Below are 24978 nucleotides of genomic sequence, written 5' to 3' on the forward strand. Positions count from 1 at the left end.
TTCTTCCTCCAGCTCCCCAGCTCCGGAGCTTCCACCACATCTGCCGGCTCAGGACGGGTCGCGCTCATCCCTTAACTTAACTTTTTGTTGTTTCTGTTTATATTTTATTGTGCTGTGTCTTGAAATGTTGTAGTTATTACTTTTGGATATTATTTAGTATTCCGACTTTGAATAAGAGTAGTTTGCACACCACACAGCTATAGTGTTATAATATTCTGTTTTGTTGTGTATCCTATTAGCAGTGAGGATTTTTTTTTTTATCTTTAGGTGATCATTTATTGCTCGTTAATGTTCTTTTCTTCCTGATTGAAGTACTTCCTTTAGCATTCCTTTAGGACAGGTGTGGTATTCATAAAATACTTCAGCTTTTGTTTGTCTGAAAAAGTTAGTATTTCTTCTTTTTATTTGAAGAATATTTTCACTGTATATTCTATTCTAAGGTAAAAGTTTTTTTTTCCTTTAGTACTTTAAATATTTATTGCTTCTCTCTCCTGACCAGTAGAGTTTCCACCGTAAAGTCTGCTGCCAGACGTGTTGGAGCTCCCCAGTATGTCATTTGTTTCTTTTCTCTTTCTTCCTTTAGAACTTTTCTTTATCTTTGACTTTTGGAAGATCTATTGAATGCTTTGAAGTAGTCTTTTTTGGGTTAAATCTGCTTAATGTTCTATAACATTTTTGTAGTTGGATATTGTTATCTTTCTCTAGGTTTGGAAAGTTCTCTGTGATTATCCCTCTGAATAAATTTTTCTACCCCTGCCTCTTTCTCTACATCTTCTTTAAAGCCAATAACTCTTAGATCTGTCTTTGTGAGGCTCTTTTCTAGATCCTCCCCTGCCTCTTTCCCTACATCTTCTTTAAAACAAATAACTCTTAGATCTGTCTTTGTGAGGCTATATTCTGGATCCTGTTGGCATGACTTGTTGTTTTTATTCTTTCTCTTTTGTCTCTTCTATGTATTTTCAAAGAGCCGTCTTCAAGCTCACTATTTCTTCTGCTTGATCCATTCTGCTATTACATGGCTCTAATGCATTCTTCAACATGCCAATTGCATTTTTCAGCTCAGAATTTCTGCTTAATTTGCTGTAACTATTTCAATCTCTTTGTTGAGTTTAGCTGATAAAATTTGGAATTTCTTTACTTTGTTATCTTAAATTTCTTTCAGTTTTTTTTTTAAAAAAATACAGCTATTTTGAATTCTCTGTCTGAAACGTCACATATCACTTTTTCTCCAGGATTTGTCCACAGTGCCTTATTTAGTTCACTTGGTGAGGTCATGTTTTCCTGGATGGTGTTGATGCTAGTAGATGTTCTTCAGTGTCAGGACATTAAAATCTTGGGCATGCAGCACCATATGAGAGGTTTAAAAAATAAAATTTAAAGAGAGAAAAGGTGAGTATTTATTGTAGTCTTCAATGTCGGGTTTATTTGTAGCTGTCTTTCATGGGAAGGTTTTTCACATATTTGAAAAGAGTTGGGTGTTGTGATCTAAGCCATATCTGCTTTATGGGGCACCTTATACCGAATAATGCTGTACTTCTTCCAGACTCAGAGAAGCACCACCTTGACAGCCTTCAACAAGATCCAGGATAATTTTCTGGATTACTAGCCAGAGACTCTTTTTCCCTACCCTTATTTTCTCTCAAAGATACAGAGTATTTCTCTCTGTTCTAAGCCACCTAAAGCTGGGAGAAGAAAGACACAAGCACCCGTGGCCACCACCACTATGACTGCCCTGGATCAGACCTAAAGCTAGCACAGCATGGGTCTTGCTCAAATCCTGCTGCGTGCACTCTCTGACAACTGACTATGTTCACTCAAGGCCTTTGGTCTCTACAATTATCAGGTGGCAAAGCCAGCCAAGCCTGTGTTCTTTCCTTTAGGGCAGTGAGATCCCTCAGTCCCTGGCTGGGTCCAGAAGTGCCATTCAGAAGTCAGGGCTTTGGCCACTTTTTAATAGGGTTTTTTGTTTTTCTCTCGTAAATTTAAATTCCTTATATTGAATATTAGATCTTTGTCAGATACATAGTTTGTAAATATTTTTTCCTCATTCTATAGGTTGTCTGTTCACTCTATTGATAATTTCTTTTGCTGAGCACAAGCTTTTAAGTTTAATTAGATCCCACTTGTCAATAGTTGTATTTGTTGTTTTTGGTGTCTTTATCATGAAATCTTTGTCTCTTTCTATGTCCAGGATGGTATTGTCTAGGTTGTCTTCCAGGGCTTTTATAGTTTTGGGTTTTACATTTAAGTATTTAATCCATCTTGAGTTGATTTTGGTGTATGGTATAAGGAAGAAGTCCAACTTCAATCAGCATATGGCTAGCCAGTTATCCCAGCACCATTTATTGAATAGGGAATCTTTTCCCCTTTGCTTGTTTTTGCCAGCTTTGTCAAAGCTTAGATAGTTGTAGGTATGTGGTCTTACCTCCAACCTCTCTATTCTGTTCCTCTGGTGTATGTGTCTGTTTTTGTACTACTACCATGCTGTTTTGGTTACTATAGTGCTGTAGTATATTTTGAAGTCAGGTAATATGATGCCTCAAGCTTTGTTCTTTTTGCTTAGGATTGCCTTGGCTACTTAGGTTCTTTCTTGGTTCTATATGAATTTTTAAATAGCTTTTTTCTACTTCTGTGAAGCATGTCATTGGTAGTTTAATAGGAATAGCTTTGGGCAGTACACCATTTAAATGATATTAATTCTTTCTCTGCATTAACATGGAATGATTTTTCATTTATTTGTGTCTTCTCTGACTTCTCTGAGCAGTGTTTTGTAATTTTCATTGTAGAGATTTTTCACCACCCTTGTTAGCTGTATTCGTATGTACTTTATTCTTTTCATGGAATTTGTGAATAAAATTGCCTCTCTGATTTGGTTCTTAGCTTGGCTCTTCTTGGTGTATAGGAATGCTAGCAAGTTTTGTATATTGATTTTGTGTCCTGAAACTTTGTGAAAGTTGTTTATCAGCTTAAGGAGTTTTTGGGTCACAACTATAGGGTTTAGATGGAGAATTATGTTGTCTGCAAACAGAGGTAGTTGGACTTCTCTTTCTATTTAGATACCCTTTATTTCTTTCTCTTGTCTGATTGCTCCAGAAAGGACTTCTAATACTATGTTGAATAGCAGTGGTGAGAGAGGGCATCCTTGTCTTGTGCGGGTTTCAAGGAGGATGCTTCCACATTTTGCCCATTTAGTATAATGTTGGCTGTGAGTTTGTCATAGGTGGCCTTTATTATTTTGAGATATGTTCCTTTGATACCTCATTTATTGAGAATTTTTAACATGAAGTTTTGTTGAATTTTACTGAAAGCTTTTTCTGCATCCGTTGAGACAATCACGTGGTTCTTATCTTTAGTTTTATTTATGTTATGAATCACATTTTATTGATTTGCTCATGGTGGACCAACCTTCCATTCCAGGGAAGAAGCTTACTTCACTATGGTGAATTAGCCTTTTGATATGTTGCTAGATTCAGTTTGCAAGTATTTTGTTGTGGGTTATTGAATGGATATTCAGGAAGGATACTGGCCTGAAGTTTTCTTTTTTTGTTGTGTCACTGCCAGGCTTTGGTATCAGGATGATTCTGGCCTCATAGAACAAGTTGGGGAAGACCCCCTCCTCCTCTATTTCTTGAAATAGTATCAGTAGGACTGGTTCTGGCTCTCCTTTGTACATCTGTTAAAATTTGTTAATCTACCAGGTCCTGGGCTTTTTCGGGGGGTTGGTAGGCTATTTATTACAGATTCAATTTTTGGAGCTCATAATTGGTCTATTCAGAGACTGAATTTCTTCCTGGTTCAGTCTTGAGGAGTATATGTGTCCAGGAATTTATTAATCTCTTCTAGGGTTTCTAGTTTGTGTGTATAGAGGTGCTCGTAGTAGTTGCTGGTTGTTATTTTTATTTCCCTGGGGTCAGTGGTAACATTCCCTTCATCATTTCTAATTTTGTTTATTTGAATCTTCTCTCTTTTCTTCTTTATTAGTCTAGCTAGTGCCCTATCTATCTTATTAATTTTTTCAAAAAACCTTGATTAAGTGATCTCTTGAACAGTTTTTCATGTCTCAATTTCTTTCAATTCAGCTCTGGTTTTAGTTATTTCTTGTCTTCTATAAGCTTTGTGGTTGAGTTCTTCTTGTTTCTCTAATTCTTTCAGTTGTGGTGTTAGGTTGTTAATTTGAGATATTTCTAATTTTTTGATATGGGCATTACTTCTTATGCCCCACTCTAACTTTTGTCCTTCTAGAAAACTCAGAACTATGCCTTCTAAACCAATTGAAACTTTCTCAGTGAATCAACCTGTTCTTCCTGAGGCAAAGTTAGCAATTTTCCGTTACACATGGTTCTTTCTCTGTAAGAATATCTAATGCAACAATGCAAGTGTTTCTTTCCCTCCTGGTAATGTGGGGAACTCCTTTTAGCTAAGACCAAGACTTAAAACCTTGTTCTTTCAACATTAATGAAGATCTATTTAGAAAGCCTCCATTTTTACAGAAAAGATATATAAACACCAATGAAAATGAATATGAAATTATATGACACAATTACATTGTGGAAAGACTGAATAAATAAGTGAACTAAGCTCTAAGAAAAAATATGATGATATAAAAAGATATAGAAGTAAAAACCTGGGCTGGTATAGCATAATTAATGTATCAGTAAAGTATGTACAGTGTAGAAGTGGCAGAAAGACAGCATAGAGAGTAAGACCTGACCAAAAGCTTTAAGAAAAGTTCTATACCCTTAAACGAGATTAAAGTGGACTCAGGAAAACATGGGACACATGAGGGAAAGGACACATGCTCCAGATGGGCCAAAGCTCAGAGCATCTCTACCTTCTCCAGGAGGAAAGGGGAGGCAAAGCAGCAGGCAGAAGACAGCACAGCCAGGTCAGCACAGGGCGAAGCCAGGTGGGCTCCATCATACAGGTAGTGAGGAGCCACTGCCAGGTGGGCTTTATTCATTAGTTGGTTTTGTTTCCTTTAGTAACAAAGAGACATGATCAAAGTTGACCTTTGTAAGTGTTGCTGCAGCTGAACAAAAAGATGGATAAAACCAGTGTTTTAAAAATTATGTTGTATACAGCACTAGCCTCAGTGAGTTATTAGTAGAACACACAGGTACACACATGCACACACATTCACACTGAGCCCAGATTATTCTGGCAAATTCTGGGTTAAGCTAACTAAAAGAAACATCTTTAGTTCTGGACTTCTCAGAACCTGGAATGCGGCTATATGACTCATAAAACAGCAAGGTTAAGACAGAGCATGTCATTTTTTCCAGAATTGTTGAAACATTTTCCTTCCCTTGGCATCAGTGTCACCTTCTTTCTCCTGGTTCTCCATCAACCTCTTTGGCTGCTCCTTCTTGATTTCCTTTTTCACGATCTGCTGCTGCTCAGCCATTCTCTTTTCATTCCCCATGGATTTCTCAAGTGTGTTTCTATTCCTGCATTTTAAACTTTCCTTGTTTTTCCTGACACTTCTCCTTGTCTGACCCTCCCCTGTTCTAAGGCAGGTGTTCCATCTGTGTGTGCTTTTGGCATCCTGGGATGCTCCCAGCATGTTCCCTGACACACTCCATCAGGTTTTCTCTGCAGACTCTGTGAGAGCAGCAGCCTTGTTTCCACCGATCCTTCAATGCTCAGCACATAACACAGAAGCTGACTCCATAACATTTAGTTGGCCAACTGAGACTAAATGTATGTTCCTCTAGATCTTAAAGAGTTACAAAAACATAGCACAATAGTCAAAACAATTCTCTTTAGTCAGGAGTTCTCTATATATGTACGACAGTTTGAAGTCATTATTAAAGCAAAGTGAAAGAGAAACTGTCACAGAATTCCCTAAGATAAATTATTTTGCTTTAATCTTCAATTCATCATGTGAGATAATCAAGACCAAGTGTTATTGTAAATATTTCTTACAACACAATTAACTGATTTTTATTGTTTGAAATAACCACAAAATAAATCAGTCAATTAAAAATTGCATAAATAATCATTTCAAATAAAATTCTGCCTAAATTTTACTCATATGTTCAAATGATAATGAGCTCATAGGTGTTTCCAATACCTCAGTCAAAACATTGTACTGATTCCAGCTGTGGGAATAGTATCTGCAAGTTATTTTACAGATGGGGAAAAGGTACTTATGTGACATTGGCCTTTGCACTACTATGCACTTTTGGGTCAGGAAAAAGCTGTTCCCTTAAAATCCTAAAATCTCTTCTCTCAGGTCTGAATGTGGATGGGAAACAAAGTTTTACAAATTTTAGCCACAGATGTTTTATTCCTTGCTTAAAGCAGTGACTAGATAAAGGCCCCTTGAAGAGCCTCCAATGATTCTTTAGAAGCGTGTGCCTGCGAATATCTTCCTGAAACACTCCCTTGTCTCTGCCCAAAATCACCTTAGGTAGGAAAATCAAAACTCAGCAGTCTGAGGAGATCCAAGGGGATCATTGAGCTCTGAGTCTTATGAGAGAAGAGAGAGAGTTCTAAGACTGTTTGTGTATAAATGTATGGGTTCCAAGTGCAATTTTGCTGTAAGCATGGATGGCATAGTGGTGAACTCAGGGCTTTTAGGTATCCATCACCAGAATAATGCACATTGTACCCATTAAGTAATTTCTCACTGTTCACCCCTTCCATCCCCTCACCCTCCTGAGTCTCCATTATTCCACTCTCTACATCAATATCTACACATCTTTTAGCACCTGCTAATGAGTGATAAAATATGATGTTTACTCTGTGTCTGGCTTGCCTCACTTACAAAAATGGCCTCCAGTTTCATCCATGTGTCTGCAAAAAAGTTATGATTCTATTGTTTTTTATGCCTGAGTAGTATTTCATTGTGTATATTTTCTACATTTTCTTTCTCCAATCATTTGTTGATGGACATTTAGGTTGATTTTATATCTGTGCTACTGTGAATAGTATTGCAACAAATACACAAGTATAGTTATCTTTCTGATAGATTGATTTCTTTTCCTTTGCATAAATACTCAGTGGTGGGATTGCTGAATCAGACAGAGCCAATGGATGATCAGTAATGGTGGCCAATCATCAGCTAGAAACAAAGAACTTAGCAGGGCTTGAAAACACCAAAACTCTGAGACCACTGACCTTCAAAAACTTCAACAGCCCTGAGTGAAAAGTCCAAACACATTTATCTACCATTCAAAGATGCTTTATTGTCTGTCCTCTGTGCATCTCAGTAGCCTCTTTTTACCACACTGTCTCTATACTGCATGAGCCATTTATATGAAACTATCTGACTCTCCATGGCATCTTATACCATGTATTCAACCATGTATCCCTAGTACCTAGCACAGTCTTGGTATATAGTTTGCTACTAAACTTTTGCAGAATGAAGGAATTATCTTGTATCGAGGTTCCAAGTTTTAAGGTGATTCTTCACTAAGAAAAAGTATTACAGTTCACAAATAATCTACTTCCCTTTTTACAGATGGGATCAATTTTAATCTTATCTCCTAATAACATTACTTTCATTTATTCTGATCTAAATATTCTGTCCTAAGAGAGCAATAAGAAAGAGAGTTGAAGCTGGAGTTTGAAGAATTGTACATGGTTCTATGATACCTTACCTTGTTTTAACCTGAGTGACTCTCCCCTAGCAGAGAGAGAGCCAGACAGACTCTATTTTAGTTTCTTCACGTGCAACCCCCTTTACCTCCCTCCCTTAAGGGCATAACTAGTGTAAACTGACTCAAAGCACATCCAGGAATGCACATACTGATAAGATATTGAGGCAAGCTGCACCAGCAGCTCCTAGGGACGTGCTTGGTGAATGTCACCCAAAACCCCTGCATTTCTCTCTTTGTGATAGTTTAAGTCCCTGCACCTGGAACTGTTTCTTTGTTGTGTAACTGCTTTTGTAACCAATTAATTTTTTAACTATTTGCCAGCTCTGCTTCAGTAAAAATTGTTTCAGTTAAACTCCCCCCTCCCCTATTTAGACCACGGAATAAAAACAAAATCAGCCCCTTCCTCGGGGCCAAGAGAATTTTCAGCGTTAGCTGCCTCTCCGTCGCTGGCTAATAAAGGATTCCTTAATTTGTCTCAAAGTGTGGCGTTCCTCTATAACTCGCTTGGTTACAACAGTCCACACTGTGGCCTGAGGTGCATCGCCCACCTGAGCTTCATCTGTTATCTATGTCAGGGAAGATAAGCAGGGTGAGAGTGGCCTCATCAGAAGACCCAAGATCTCTGGCTTCCCCATCTGGCAAGTGCACCTCTGTGAACAAAGACTTCAGAGCCAGATGACAAGAATGGCCCAAGCAGTCCACCAGGGAAACTTGGGCCCAGTGTACATCAATGCAGAGCGTCAAGCATGGCATAACAGGTGGACAGTTGCCTATTCCTGTTCAGAGATGACTGCATCCCACACACTGTAAAATGAAGAAATGCAGAGAAGCAGATGTAACTGAAGCAGACAGCAGGAACAACAAGGAAGGACAACCACGACCTAGGAGGGCACCATGCCAGAGATGCCTGGACCCTATGCTAGGCTCAGTGCCTGTTATACTCTTGGGATCCAGCGCTTTCCCTCTCCATCACAATGCATACTTGGCATTATTTGTTGTTTAAAATATTTTCCTTAGTTTTCACCTTTCCTAGGAGACACAGGCAGACCCTGTGACACTACAGCTTCTGGCACACAGTAGGTGCATCACAAACATCTGTTGAGTTCACACACTCTTGCCTTCTCAAACCTTTTTGTCAAGTCTTCAGTGAAAAGGAATTGCTGATTGAGCAAGAATTAAACTTCTAGAGACTTCTGGATCCACTGAAGTTTAAGACAAGGTGAGATTTGTTTACTGCCATATTCCTAGCTCATAGCATACTGTAGTCACTTAAAAAATGTTTGTTGAATCAGTGACTGAATTGATTCATACGTCATACTTAGCTATATATTTTCTGAGTAAAATTGATGAATTTAATGGTTTAATTCTAGTATAATTTTACTTTCCTTATTCAACGAACCTGACAATTCAACTTGGTGCCAAGCACACGGCTGCTGAAGTAAAGGAGGTATAAGATACAATTTCTGTCTACAAGAAAGCCACAATCTAAAAAGTAGAAACATATGAACAAATTATAATAATAAATAGGCTACATTCAAAATCAGAGGGGTCTGTTTCTATTTTAAACAGCTCTAGTCAGGAAGTGTTAGAAAGTTCTAAACAGGAAATGTTCCAACACACCATCCAAGCATGAAGCAGGAGACACCTATAATTGAGCTTGCTGCCACCAACCCCAACAGCAAGAATTCCAGTCCTGCTGCTGCAAAGTAAGTGTCACTCTGATTTTATTACTGCTGTGTAACCCAGTTTTAGACTCTCTGGTTCTCACTTAATGTTCTAAATAAGTATTAAAGAGAAAATATTATTATGGTTTGAGCCCATCCACGGCAGACATCATAACATCATACTAGTTATAAGGCCTATCATTTAAAAGGAAAATTGTTAGCTTAACTTATTTATCCAAATATCAGTATTAGATAAACATCAGACTTTGTCATCAGACTTTGGATTTATGGGTTAAATAGCATACAAATATGATTAGAGCCTTAAAGTTTACACTTCTCTGGTTTGCTCAAATTTTTTTCAAAATAGCATATGCCTTTCTAAAAAATTGTTAGTATATTTTTAAAAATGAACATAAAAATATATATTTTCTCAAAACAAAATACAGCTCCCATTGGCAAATGATGATGTTGAAATACAACAGACAACTTCTCTTGGGAACCATTTAATCAGTGCTCACTTTTGCACTCTTTCCAGAAATGTCAATGGCTTTAAAATGTAGAAGTATATTATACAACTAAACTTACACTTATTCAGTATTGTGCAATATTTAGTACTTGTTCTAGCTATCTCTTGCTCAATAGTAAGCCATTCCAAAACTTAAGGAATTATTTATTGTTTAATTGTTTCTTGTTATTATTTGTTTAGTGATTTTAAATAATGCTGTTTCTCGTGGTTTTGTGGGTTGATGGGCACTACAAAAGTTCTCTTTTGGAGTCTTTCTTGCGGTTGCAGTTGGTTGGCTGCTGCTGAACTCACCTGAAAGCTCAACTAGGCTAAAGAGCCTAGACAGGTCACTCATATGGCTGGCAGTGCATATTGGCTGCTGAGTGTGATGCCTATCTGACCTCTCTATGTTATCTGGAGTGCTCACAACGTGGTAGTTGGTCCCAAGACACACAGGCAAATACTACAAAGCTTCTTAGGACCTAGCCTTGGAGGTCCTAGAATACAACTTCTGCTCCATCCTATTGATAAAGCAAGTCAGTGTGACCAGCACAGATTCAAGAAATGGGAGATTTGACTCTGTCAATGTAAAGAGCAGCATGTGCATGTAAGGAGGAAAGAAATTGAGGGCATCATCTTGAAGGCTATCATATCACACCATTATTCCAACTAATGAAAATTATGCATTAGATGGGCAGTCTTAGCTACTCATCTCTCCCCCAGAAACCCAAGCTAAGCACGGATATATTGAAGAGAATGTCAGCACCATTAAACAAACTCTAGAAAAATAACATGTGATGACTGAGGTTAATTCAGTCTGTCAATTACATCAATATAATTCCCTTCTTTTAACCCTAAATATGGTGAAGAAGAATTGAATTCTACAAAAGTCTTTCATCCGTTTTCCTATGGAATAATTAACAAACCCAATAAATGTATAAATAGTATGAAGCCCAATTTATTTTAGATTTTTACCTCTTAATTTCAAAGCTTATAGAAATCCAGAGAACTAATCATCATAATCCATAGTGCCTGGACCAGAAGTCTTTGTTCTAAGAGTATCTTCTGACATGCTAAAAATGTATTACTAACTAGGAAATTTAAAACTTTTTGGTTAGTGATTTTAAGAGAGGTGACTAACTCATCACCACAATTCACACAGATTAAGAATGGAGATTACTCTGCTGAGTGGATTCATAGTGATCAGAAAAAAAATCACAAAAGAGGAAAAGAGATAGAGAAGGGGAAACATACTGTCAATCCCTTCAATTAAAGTGATTTTTCAAATGGTTTGATCTTATATTTGCAAAGGAAATGCAGCTTATTGTGATAGAATAAGAATACCACTTCTGTATTTTTTTTTTTTTTTTTTTTTTTTTTTTGTTGAGACGGAGTCTCACTCTGTCATGCAGGCTGGAGTGCAGTGGTGCGATCTTGGCTCACTGCAAGCTCTGCCTCCCAGGTTCATGCCATTCTCCTGCCTCTGCCTCCGGAATAGCTGGGACTACAGGCGCCCGCCGCCACACCCGGCTAATTTTTTTGTATTTTTTGTAGATACAGGGTTTCACCGTGTTAGCCAGCATGGTCTCGATCTCCTGACCTTGTGATCCGCCCACCCCAGCCTCCCAAATTGCTGGGATTATGGGCGTGAGCCACTGTGCCTGGCTCGTCTTCTTTTGAGAAATGTCTCCTTATGTCCCTTGTCAATGTTTTAATGGGGTTGTTTTCTTAATGTTCAACATCACTAATCATCAGAGAAATGCAAATCAATGTGAGATACCATCTGATATTAGTCAGAATGGCTACTATTAAAAAGTAAAAAAAAGACATTCTGTTTAGACTTCAGGGAAAATGAAATGTTTATACACTGTTGGTGAGAATGTAAATTAGTTCAGCCACTGTGAAAAGCAGTCTGGAGATTTTTCAAAGAATTTAAAACAGAAGTACCATTCAACCAGCAATTCCATTACTGAGTATATATCCAAAAGAAAATTTAAAATTCTACAAAAAGAAACCCCACATCCACTTGTATATGCATCATTTTGCTATTCACAATAGGGAAGGCATGGAATTAACTTATCTGTGAATCAATAAATTGGTTAGAAATATGTGTCACATATACACCATAAAATTCTATGCACACATTAAAAAGAATACAATTGTGTCCTGTGCAGCAACATGCATACTTCTGGAGGCCATTATCCTAGGGAAATTAATACAGGAACAGAAAACCAAATACCACATGTTCTTGCCTATAAGTAGGATCTAAACATGGGGTACTCATGAATACAAAGACACCAACAATAGACACTGAAAACTGCTAGATGAAGAAGGGAAGGAGGAGGGCAGGGGGTGAGAAACTATGAGTGTTATGCTTACTGCGTAGGTGATGGGATCAGTAATATCCCACATTGCTCAGCATCACACAATATATCCATGTAACAAACCTGCAAATATACTCCCTGAATCTAAAAAATTTAAGGCAGAGACAGAATAAGAGGGCAGAATAGAGGCCTACATTCCCATCCACCACACAAAAACACCAAATTTTCACAACTCACTACATTCACGAATCAATGTCAAAGGGACCAAAAATTGGGTGAGCAATCCCAGTACCTGGTATTAACTTCAAATCACTGAAACAGACATTGGAGAAGACAAACAAATAAGAGACAGTCTAGAAGCACGGATGCTACCTCTTTTTCAACCACCAGTAGTGACTACATGGTGCCGAGATACTATGTTTGGGAGAGGGAGAGCATAGTTCGTGAGGCTTTGCAAAAAATTCAGTACTACCCCCTCACAGTGAAAAGCAGAACCAGGCTGTACTCAGCTGACATTTGCCAATGGTGGGAGCACTTGTATTGGCCTTAGAAAGAGGAAAACCTCCCATCCTAGTGTTGGGAGCTTGAGTTTTTACAAGTCTTGCCATCATGAGTTGAAGTGCTATTGGACTCTAGGAGAACTTAAGGGGCAGTCTAGGCCACAAGGACTTCAATTATTAGGCAAGTCATATTCCGAGCTGGGCTCAGAGCCAGTGGAATGTGGAGGGTGGGGAAAATGGGGTCTACTGAGACAGCAGCCAGAGCTAAGGGAGTGCTCACAACACCAATCCTCCACTCCCACCTAGCAGCAGCCACACAACACAGAGAAACCAGTGAATTTGGGAGAGGGAGGGCACAGTGACTGGAGGACATTACATTAAACTCAGTGCTGCCATGTCAGTAAAGACCTGGCAGAATTCATCACCTGCTGACTAAAGAACCCCTGTACCCAGAATAAAAAACAGTGACAACCAGGTAATACACCATGGGCATTGGGCTCTGAGAAGCGCTAACTTCAGGTGTGACCCAGTACATTTCCAGCTGTGGTAGCTATGGTGAAAGACTTCTGTTTGAGAAAAGCAGGGGGGAAAGTAAAGGGACCTCTGCATTGCACATGATATGCCAGCTCAACCACAGTGGGGTAGAGCACCAAGCAGATTCTTAGAGTCCCTGAGTCCAGGCCTAGGGTCTTCTTGGTCAACATCTCTGCCCTTGCCCTGGGCCAAAGGTTGAGTCTCAGGCATTGCAGAATTTATCACAAGCTAATTAAAGAGTCCTTGTGCTTTAATTGAGAAAGTGATGATGATTTGGTGGAAATCCCCCATGAGCCAGTAGTGTTGGCAGTCATAAAAGAGGCTCTTCTGCCTGCAGACCGGGGAAGAAAGAGTAGAAAATACTTTGTCTTATTCCCAAAGTGCCAGGTTTGCTACAGTAAAATAGAAGAGAAGGTAAATTTTGAAGATTCTATGCTTTAATCTCTGGCTCCCAAGTAGCATCTGTGGACCCAATCATGGCTAGGTGAAATTGCCACCCTATAGGCAGAGACACAAACCTGGCTGGCTTTGCCACCTATTAATCACAGAGTCCTAGGGCTTTGAATAAACTTATATGGTAGCCAAGTAGTGGTTGCAGTGGGCCTTGCATGAGACCAAGTTCTGTGCCTACTTCAGGTGTGAACCAGCACAGTCTCAGTGGTGGTGGCCACAGGAGTGCTTATGTTACCCCAGCCCCAGCTTCACATGTCTCAGCACAGAAAGAGAGACTGATGATTTGAGAGACAGTAAGGGAAGAGAACAAGAGTCTCTACTTGATAAATCAAGAGAATTTTTCTTGATGTTAATCCAAGGCTACCAAGGCAGTACCTCTATGTGTTTGCATAAACTACCGTGCTATTGGGTTTGGGACCCAAGTTTCTTTGAATACCTGGAAAGTGTTCCCAAAGATAATGGGCACTAACAAACCCAGGCTGTGAAAACTACAATAAAGACTGAACTCTTCAATGCCCAGATACAGATGAACATCTACAAGTATCAAGGCCATCCAGGAAAACATGACCTCACCAAACAAGCTAAATAAAGCATCAGGGACAAATCCTGGAAAAACAGAGATATGTGACTTTTCATACAGGAAATCCAAAATAGCTGGTTGAGGTAATTCAAAGAAATGTACAATATAACACAGAGAAGGAATTCAAAATTCTATCAGATAAATTTAACAATGAGATTGAAATAAAAAGAATAAAGCAGAAATTCTGAAGTTAAAATGCTATTGTCATACTGAAGAATGGATCAGAATTACTTAAAAGAATTGAACAAGGAGAAGATAGATTTAGTGAACTTGAAGTCAGACTATTTAAAAATACAAAGTCAGAGGAGACAAAAAAGAATAAAAAATAAAGCACGTCTGTAGAATTTAAAAAATAGCCTCAAAATAGCAAATCTAAGAGTTATTGGCCTTAAAGAGGAGGTAGAAAAAGAGATGAGTTGAACATTTATTTAAATAAATAATATTAAACAATTCCTCAACATTTGATATCAATATTCGAGTAACAGAAAGTTACAGAACATAAAGCAGATTTAACCTAAAGAAGCCACCTGAAGTCACGTAACTGAACTCCCAAAGATTAAGGATTAAGAAATGATTCTAAAAGCATCGAGAGAAGAGAAAGAAATAACATTCAGTGGAACTCCAATACATCTGACAGCAGACTTTTCAGGGGAAAATTTACAGGCTGGGAGACTGGCATGACGTATTAAAAAAGCTAAAGAAAAAAAGACTTTTACTTTAGAATAATGTATCTGACAAAAACGTCCTTTAATTTGACGGAAAAATAAGAACTTTTCCCGACAGAAAAAAAAAAAAAAAACAGGGATTTCATTAACACCAGACCTGTCCTACAAGAAATGCTAAAGGGATATCTTAACCTAAAAGAAAAAAAGTGAGCAAGAAGAAATCATCTGAAGGTACAGAACTCACTAGCAATAGCACATGGAAAAACACTGAATATTATAACATGGTAATTATGGGGTGCAAAAATCTCAAATAGAAAGAGTAAACATATGAACTTTAAAGTACTTTTTTCCAATTCTGTGAAGAAAGACATTTGTAGCTTGATGGGGATGGCATTGAATCTATAAATTACCTTGGGCAGTATGGCCATTTTCACGATATTGATTCTTCCTACCCATGAGCATGGAATGTTCTTCCATTTGTTTGTATCCTCTTTTATTTCATTGAGCAGTGGTTTGTAACTCTCCCTGAAGAGGTCCTTCACATCCCTTGTAAGTTGGATTCCTAGGCATTTGATTCTCTCTGAAGCAATCGTGAATGGGAATTCACTCATGATTTGGCTCTCTGTTTGTCTGTTATTGGTGTATAAGAATGCTTCTGACTTTTTACATTGATTTTGTATCCTGAGCCTTGGCTGAAGTTGCGATTCAGCTTAAGGAGATTTTGGGCTGAGACAATGGGGCTTTCTAGATATACAATCGTGTCATCTGCAAACAGGGACAATTCGACTTCATCTTTTCCTAATTGAATACCCTTTATTTCCTTCTCCTGCCTGATTGCCCTGGCCAGAACTTCCAACACTATATTGAATAGGAGAGGTGAGAGAGGGCATCCCTATCTTCTGTCGGTTTTCAAAGAGAATGCTTGCAGTATTTGCCCATTCAGTATGACACTGGCTGTGGGTTTGTCATAGATAGCTCTTATTATTTTGAGAAACGTCCCATCAATACCTAATTTATTGAGAGTTTTTAGCATGAATGTTGTTGAATTTTGTCAAAGGCCTTTTCTGCATCTATTGAGATAATCACGTGGTTTTTGTCTTTGGTTCTGTTTATATGCTGGATTACATTTATTGATTTGCCTATGTTGAACCAGTTTGCATCCCAGGGATGAAGCCCACTTGATAATTGTGGATAAGCTTTTTGATGTGCTGCTGGATTCGGGTTGCCAGTATTTTGTTGAGGATTTTTGCATCAATGTTCATCAAGGATATTGGTCTAAAATTCTCTTTTTGTGTTGTGTCTCTGCCCGGCTTTGCTCTCAGGATGATGCTGGCCTCATAAAGTGAGTTAGGGAGGATTCCCTCTTTTTCTATTGATTGGAATAGTTTCAGAAGGAATGGTAATAACTCCTCCTTGTACCTCTGGTAGAATTCGGCTGTGAATCCATCTGGTCCTAGGCTTTTTTGATTCGTAAGCTATTGATTATTGTCTTAATTTCAGAGCCCGTTATTGGTCTATTCAGAGATTCAACTTCTTCCTTGTTTAGTCTTGGGAGGGTGCATGTGTTCAGGAATTTATCCATTTCTTCTAGATTTTCTGGTTTATTTGCATAAAGGTTTCTATAGTATTCACTGGTGGTAGTTTGTATTCCTGTGGGATCAGTGGTGATATCACCTTTATCATTTTTTATTGCATCTGTTTAAGACTTCTCTGTTTTTTTCTTTATGAGTCTGCTAGCAGTCTATCAATTTTGTTGATCTATTCAAAAAACCAGCTCCTGCATTCGTTGACTTTTTGAAGGGGTATTTGTATCTCTATTTCCTTCAGTTCTTCTCTAATTTTAGTTATTTCTTGCGTTCTATGAGCTTCTGAATGTGTTTGCTCTTGCTTCTCTAGTTCTCTTAATCGTGATGTTAGGGTGCCGTATTAGATCTTTCCTGCTTTCTCTTGTGGGCATTTAGTGCTATAAATTTCCCTCTACACACTGCTTTGAATGTGTCCCAAAGATTCTTGTATGTTGTGTCTTTGTTTTCTTTGGTTTCAAAGAACATCTTTATTTCTGCCTTCATTTCGTTATATACCCAGTAGTCATTCAGGAGCAGGTTGTTCAGTTTCCATGTAGTCGAGCAGTTTTGAGTGAGTTTCTTAATCCTGAGTTCTAGTTTGATTGTACTGTGGTCTGAGAGACAGTTTGTTATAATTTCTGCTCTTTTACATTTGCTGAAGAGTGCTTTACTTCCAACTATGTGGTCGACTTTGGAATAGGTGTAGTGAGGTGCTGAAAAGAATGTATATTCTGTTGATTTGGGCTGGAGAGTTCTGTAGATGTCTATTAGGTCCGCTTGGTGCAGAGCTGAGTTCAATTCCTGGATATCCTTGTTAACTTTCCTTCTCATTGATCTGTCTAATATTGACAGTGGGTGTTAAACCCCCCTATTATTATTGTGTGGGAGTCTAAGTCTCTTTGTAGGTCTCTAAGTACTTTCTTTATGAATCTGGGTGCTCCTGTATTGGGTGCATATATATTTAGGATAATTAGCTCTTTTTGTTGGATTGATCCTTTTACCATTATGTCATGGCCTTCATTGTCTCTTTTGATCTTCACTGGTTTAAAATCTGTTTTATCAGAGACTAGGATTGCAACCCCTGCCTTTCTTTGTTTTCCATTTGCTTGGTAGATCTTCCTCCATCCCTTTATTTTGAGCCTGTGTGTGTCTCTGCACATGAGATAGGTTTCCTGAACACAGCACACTGATTGTTCCTGACTCTTTATCCAATTTGACAATCTTTGACTTTTAATTGGAGCATTTAGCCCATTTACATTTGAGGTTGATATTGCTATGTGTGAAATTTATCCTGTCATTATGATATTAGCTGGTTATTTTGTTCATTGGTTGATGCAGTTTCTTCCTAGCATTGATGGTCTTTACAATTTGGTGTTTTTGCAGTGGCTGGTACAGGTTGTTCTTTTCCACTTTTAGTGTTTCCTTCAGGAGCTATTTTAGGGCAGGTCTGGTGGTGACAAAATCTCTCAGCATTTGCTTGTCTGTAAAGGATTTTATTTCTCCTTCACTTACGAAGTTTAGTTTGGCTGTATATGACATTCTGGGTTCAAAATTCTTTTCTTTGAGAATGTTGAATATTGGCCCCCACTCTTCTGGCTTGTAGAGTTTCTGCCAAGAGATCAGCTGTTACTCTGAAGGGCTTCCCTTTGTGGGTAATCTGACATTTCTCTCTGGCTGCCCTTAACATTTTTTCCACATTTCAACTTTGGTGAATCTGACAATTATGTGTCTTGGAGTTTCTCTTCTCGAGGAGTATCTTTCTGGCATTCTCTGTATTTCCTGAATGTGAATGTTGGCCTGCGTTCCTAGATTGGGGAAGTTCTCCTCGATAATATACACAGTGTGTGTTTCAACTTGGTTCTATTCTCCCCATCACTTTCAGATACACCAATCAGACGTAGATTTGGTCTTTTCACATAGTTCTATATTTCTTGGAGGTTTGCTCATTTCTTTTTATTCTTTTTTCTCTAAACTTCTCTTTTCACTTCATTTCATGCCTTTCATCTTCCATCACTGATACCGTTTCTTCCAGTTGATTGAATCATCTACTGAGGCTTGGGCATTCATCACGTGGTTCTCGTGCCATGGTTTTCAGCTCCATCAGGTCCTTTAAGGACTTCTCTGCATTGGTTATTCTACTTAGCCATTCATCTAATTTTTTTTCAAGCTTTTTAACTTCTTTGCCATGGGTTCAAAGTTTCTCCTTTAGCTTGAAGTCATTTGATCATCTGAAGCCTTCTTCTCTCAACTCATCAAAGTCATTCTCCGTCTGGATTTGTCCCATTGCTGGTGAGGAGATGCATTCCTTTGGAGGAAGAGAGGCATTCTCATTTTTAGAGTTTCCATTGTTTCTGCTCTGTTTTTTCCCCATCTTTGTGGTTTTATCTACCTTTGGTCTTTGATGATTTTGATGTACAGATGGATTTTTTGCATGGATGTCCTTTCTGTTTCTTAGTTTTCCTTCTAACAGTCAGGACCCTCAGCTGCAGGTCTGTTGGAGTTTGCTGAAGGTCCACTCCTCACCCTGTTTGCCTGGGTATCAGCAGCAGTGGCTGCAGAACAGCGGATATTGGTGAACCACAAATGCTGCTGCTTGATCATTCCTCTGGAAGTTTTGTCTCACAGGAGTACCCAGCCATGTTAGGTTTCAGTCCGCCCTTACTGGGTGTGCCTCCCAATTGGGCTACTCGGGGTTCAGGGACCCAGTTGAGGAGGCAGTCTGCCCGTTCTCAGATCTCCAGCTGCAGCTGGGAGAATCACTACTCTCTTCAAAGCTGTCAGACAAGGACATTTAAGTCTGCAGAGATTTCTGCTGCCTTTTGTTTGGCTATGTCCTACCCCCAGAGGTAGAGTCTACAGAGGCAGGCAGCCCTCCTTGACCTGAATTGGGCTCCACCGAGTTCGAGCTTCCCAGATGCTTTACCTACTCAAGCCTCAGCAATGGCAGGGGACCCTTCCCCAGCCTTGCTGCCACGTTGCAGTTTGATCTCAGACTGCTGTGCTAGCAATGAGTGAGGTTCTGTGGGCCTAGGACCCTCCAATCCAGGCATGAGATATAATCTCCTGGAGTGACTTTTGCTAAGACAATTGGAAAAGTGTAGTATTAGGATGGGAATGACCCAATTTTCCAGGTGCCATCTGTCACCACTTTCTTTGACTGGGAAAAGGAATTCCCTGACCCCTTGTGCTTCCCAGGTGAGGTGATGTCTCACCCTGCTTCTGCTCATGCTCGGTGCACTGCACCCACTGTGCTGCACCCTCGGTCTGACACTCTCCAGTGAGATGAACCCGGTACCTCATTGGGAAATGCAGAAATCACCCATCTTCTGTGTTGCTCATTCTGGGAGCTGTAGACTGGAGTTGCTGCTATCAGCCATCTTGGCTCCAACCTCCGTTTTGCTTGTTTCTTTGTTTATGCAATCAATGTTAAATTGTCCACAGTCTAAAATAATGTATTATGTTATTTTCAAGCCTCATGATAATTTCAAATCAAAGAGTGTACCACAGATGTACAAAAAGTAAAAAGCAAGAAATTAGATTATAATTCAAGATAAATCACCTTCACTAAAAGGAAGACAGGAAGAAAGGGAAGAAGGAAGAGAGGACAAAAATCAATGAGAAAAAAATAAAAAAATGGCAGGAGTAAGTTCTTATCACTGATAACATTGAATTTAAATGAACTAAATACACCAGTCAAAAGAAAAATAGTGGATGAATAGATAGAGAAGCAGGACAATAATCTGTGACCTACCAAAAAAAAACACACTTTATCTATAAAGATACATTTAGACTGAAAATAGAAGGATGAAAAAAGTTATTCCATGCCAATAGAGACCAAAAAGAGCAGAACTAGCCATACTTATACCAGACAAAAATAGATTTCAACAAAAGACTGTAGGAAGAAATTAAAAGGTCATTATATAATAATAAAGAGATCAATTCATCAAGAGGATATAATAATTGAAAATATATATGCACCCAACACTAAAGCACTTAGATAAATGAAGCAAATATTATAAGAGCTAAAGAAAGAGACCTCAATACAATATTGGCAGGACAATTCAACACCCCACTTTAGTCATTGGACAGACTTTCCAGACAGAAAATAAACAAAGAAACATCAGACTTAATCTGTACTATAGAACAAATGAACCTAATAGATATTTACAGAAAATTTCATCCAACAGCTGCATAATACACATTCTTCTCCTCTGCACATGGGTTATTTTCAAGGATAGACCATATGTTATGTAACAAGTATAAAAACATTCCAAAAAATTGAAGTAATATGAAGCATTTTCTTTGACTACAGGGGATAAAACTAGAAATAATTTAAAAAGGAATTTAAGAAACTATACAAACACATAGACATTAAACAATATGCTCCTGAATGATTAGTAGGCCGATAAAAAAGTTAAAAAGAAAATAGAAAAATTTCTTGAAACAAATGATAATGGAAACATAGCATAGAAAAAGCTATGGAATATAGTAAAAGAGGTACTATTATAAAAGGAAAATTTATAACTGTGTCTACATAAAAAACAGAAAATCTTCAAATACATAACCTAACAATACATTTTAATTAACTAGAATAAAAAGACCAAACCTAACCCAAAATTAGAAGAAAAGAAATAATAAAGATTAGAGCAGAAGTAGATAAATTTAAAATGACGAAAATAATGTAAAGAATTAATGAAAGAAAAAGTTGATTTTTTGAAAAGTAAAACAATTGACAAATATTTAAACAGGCTAACTGAAAAACAAAAAAGATACAGATTAGTAAATCAGAGGTGAAAAAGGAGACATTACAAGTAACGCTTCAGAAAAGCAAAGTTTCATTAATGAATACTCTCAGCAATTTTATGCCAACAAATTAGAAAACCTAGAGGAAATTAATTCTTAGACAAACACAACTTACCAAGATTGAACTAGGAAAAAATCTAAAACCTGAACAGATCAATAACAATTAACAAAATTAATGCCTTAATAAAAGAGTCTGTAGGACCAGACTGAAAACTAGAGAAGGAAAGAACACTTCCAAACTCATTCTTTGAGGCTAGTATTACCCTGATATCAAAACCAGACAAAGACATATTTAAAAAAGCGAACTACAGGCCCATATCTGAGAATATTGGTGCAAAAATTTGCAAAACACCTAGCAAACTGAATTAAACAATACATAAATAAGTAATTCATAATGACCAAGTGGGATTTATCCCAGGGATGCAAGGATGGTTCAACATGCAACTCAATCAATGTGATAGATCACATAAAGAGAATGAAGGGGCCAGGCACAGTGGCTCACATCTGTAATCCCAGCAATTTGGGAAGTCGAGGTGGGTGGATCACCTGAGGTCAGGAGTTTGAAACCAGTCTGTCCAACATGGTGAAGCCCCGTCTCTACTAAAAATACAAAAAATAGCCAGTTATGGTGGTGGGCACCTGTAATCCCAGGTACTTGGGAGGCTGAAGAAGGAGAATCACTTGAACCTGGGAGGCAGAGGTTGCATTGAGCTGAGATCATGCCATTGCACTCCAACCTGGGTGACAGAGGGAGACTTCATCTCAAACAAAACAAAACAAAACAAAACAATAAAACAAGGACAAAATCCATATAATCATTTCAATTATGCTAACAATTTTTGATAAAATTTAATATTCTTTAATAACAAAACACTTTGAAAACTGGGTATGGAATGAACATAACCTCAACATAATAAAAGTCATATATGACAGACCCACAGCTAGCATCACACTAAGTGGGGAAAAACTAAAAGCCTTTACTCTAAAATCTGGAAGATGACAAGAATGTCCACTTTTACCACTGTTATTCAACATAATGCTGAAAGTCCTATCTGGAGCAATCAGACAGGAAGGAGAAAGCAATAAAATGCATCCCAGTTGGAAAAGAAGTCAAATTACCTTTTTTTTTTTGCCAATGATAAAATCTTATATTGGAAAAAGCATAAATACTCCTCTGATAGGGTTTGAATGTGTGTCCCCTCCCCAAATCTCATATTTAAATGTAATTCTGAATGATGGAGATGGGCCTGGTGGAAGGTGATTTAACCATTGGGATGGATTACTCATAAATGGCTTAGCACCATCCCATTTGGTGCTATCCTCATGATAGTGAGTGAGTTCCCATAAGAACTGCTTAGTTAAAACTGTGTAACAACTCTCCCCTCTGTTTTTTGCTCCTGCTTTTTGCCCTGTGATGTGCAAGATTCTGCTTCAACTTCTGCCATGACTGCAAAATTCCAGAGACTTCCCCAGAAACATATTCCAGTACTATGTCTTCTCCTCAGCCTGTAGAATCATAAGCCACTTAAACCTACTATGTAAAAAATAAATTATCTAGTCCCACTCTCATAGTGATGGAAAAATAGCTTAATACAGAAAATTGGCACCAAGGAATGGAAAATGGTTATAAGAATAACCCAAAATGTGGAATCAGCTTCGTAATTGGGTAAACAGATAGAAGTTGGAAGAGTTTGTAGGATTCAGAAGACAGAAAAATGATGGAAAGTTGAGATTTTCTTAGAGACTGGTTGAATGTCTGTGACCAAAATGTGGATAGTGGTCTGGACAGTGAATGCCGGGCTGAGGTCTCAGATGAAAACTAGAAACTTATTGGGACAGAAACAAAAGTCATGCATGTTGTCTTAGCAAAGTGGTTGGCCGAATTTCTGTCATGCCCTAGGGATATAGAAAAGTGTGAATTTGAAATTGATGATCTAGGGTTTCTGTTGGAAAAATATCTAAGCAGCAAAGCATTTGTGATGTGGCCTGGCTGCTTCTAACAACCTATGTTCACATGTTCCAGCAAAAAAAATAAAAATAAAATAAGTAGTAACTTATACTTACAAAAGAAGCATAGTGTAAATGCTTGAAAACTTTGCAGCCTAGTCATGTGGCTGAACTCGAAAAAGCTTTTATAAGAGGAACTCAAGCAGGACATGGGTCAATCACTTGTTAGAGATATTTGTATAACCTAAAAAAAAAGCAAGTCTTGATAGCCAAGACAATGGGAAAGAGGAATTGAAGGCATTTTAGAAATCTAAAAAGCAGCCCCCCATCACAGGCCCTGAGGCCTGAAAGAAGAGAATAGTTTCTGGGATCAGGCCTAGGACCTGCTGCCTTGGGTAGCTTTGGAACAAGGCTCCCTACATCCTGGCCACTGCTTCAGGTCCAGGTGTAGCCCAAATTGACCCATTTAAACTCCAGTCACTGGTTCAGAAGGTGCAAGTCGTAACCTTGGTAGCTTCCATGTGGTGTTAGGCCTGTGGGTTTACAAAAGCAAGTAGTTGAGACTTGGGAGCCTCCACTATTATTTCAGAGGATGTATGAAAAAGCCAGGGTGTGAAGGCAGAAGCATGCTTCAGAGGTGGAGCCCTCATGGAGATCCTCTACTAAAACAATGGAGAAAAGAAATGTAGTGTGACAGTCCCCAGGGAGGCTCCCAACTAGGTCATGGCCTAGTAGATCTGTGAGGAGAGGATCACTGTCCTCCAGACTCCAGAATGGTAGATCTAGCTACAGCCTGCATCTTGCAGCTTGAAAAGCCAGAGGCACAGAATGCCAGCCCATGAGAGCAGCTGTGAGGGCTGAACCATGCAAAGTCACAAGGTAGAATCTTCCCAAGGCATTAGTGTTCCCTGGAAATGGGACAGAGAGTCAAAAATAAGTATTTTGGAGCCTTACAATTCAATAACTGCCCTTCTGGGTTTCAGACTTTCATGGGTCCTGTGGCCCCTTTCTTTTGGCTCATTTCTTCCTTTTAGAATAGGAGTGTTTACCCAATGCCTCTGTCTCATTTGTATCTTGGAAGAACTTAACTTGTTTTTTTATTTTACAGGCTTATAGGAGGAAGAAATTAGCTTTGTCTTAGATGAGACTTTTGACTTTTGAGTTAACGCTGAAATTAGTTAAGACATTGGGGATTATTGGGAAGTCATGATTGTATTTTGAAATATGAGAAGGATATGAGATTTGGAATGGCCAGGGGCAAAATGATACAGTTTGGATGTGTATTCCCACCAAAATCTTATATTGAAATATAATCCTCAATGTTGGAAGTGGGCCTAGAGTGGAGGTGATCGAATCATGAGGGCAAGATTTACATGAACAGTTTGGCATCACTTCCTTTGGTGCCATTCCCACAATAGTAAGTTTTCATGAGAGCTGGTTATCTACAAGTGTGTGTTGCACTTCCCCCCTGCCCTCACACTTACCATGTGATGTGCAAACCCCAGATTTATTTGTCACCTTGTCAGTTGTCAGAGGCTTCCCCAGAAGCAGAAGCCAGCACAATGCTTTCTGTACACCCTGTAGAACCATGAACTGATTAAACCTATTTTCTTTATAAATAAACCAGTCACTGATTACTTTTTATAGCAATATGAGAATGGCCTAATACATCCACAAAAACTATTAGAAGTAATAACTTGAGTAAATTTGCAGAATACAAAATCAACATACACAAATCAGTAGGATTTCTATATGTCAATACTCAACAAACTGAAAAAGAATTCAAAAATATAATACTATTTACAGTAGCCACAAATAAAACAAAATGTGTGGG

General features: G+C 38.4%; 1 annotated feature.

Annotated features, from left to right (window-relative positions):
- Positions 22453–22954: an enhancer, noted in NCBI's record as "NANOG hESC enhancer chrY:9953369-9953870 (GRCh37/hg19 assembly coordinates)". NCBI's record gives its function as "activates a minimal SCP1, AML or CMV promoter by ChIP-STARR-seq in naive H9 embryonic stem cells {active_cell/tissue: H9 hESC(naive)}" and the evidence as "EXISTENCE:reporter gene assay evidence [ECO:0000049][PMID:30033119]".

Source organism: Homo sapiens, chromosome Y (assembly GCF_000001405.40).
Source record: "Homo sapiens chromosome Y, GRCh38.p14 Primary Assembly".
Classification (NCBI taxonomy): Eukaryota; Metazoa; Chordata; class Mammalia; order Primates; family Hominidae; genus Homo; species Homo sapiens.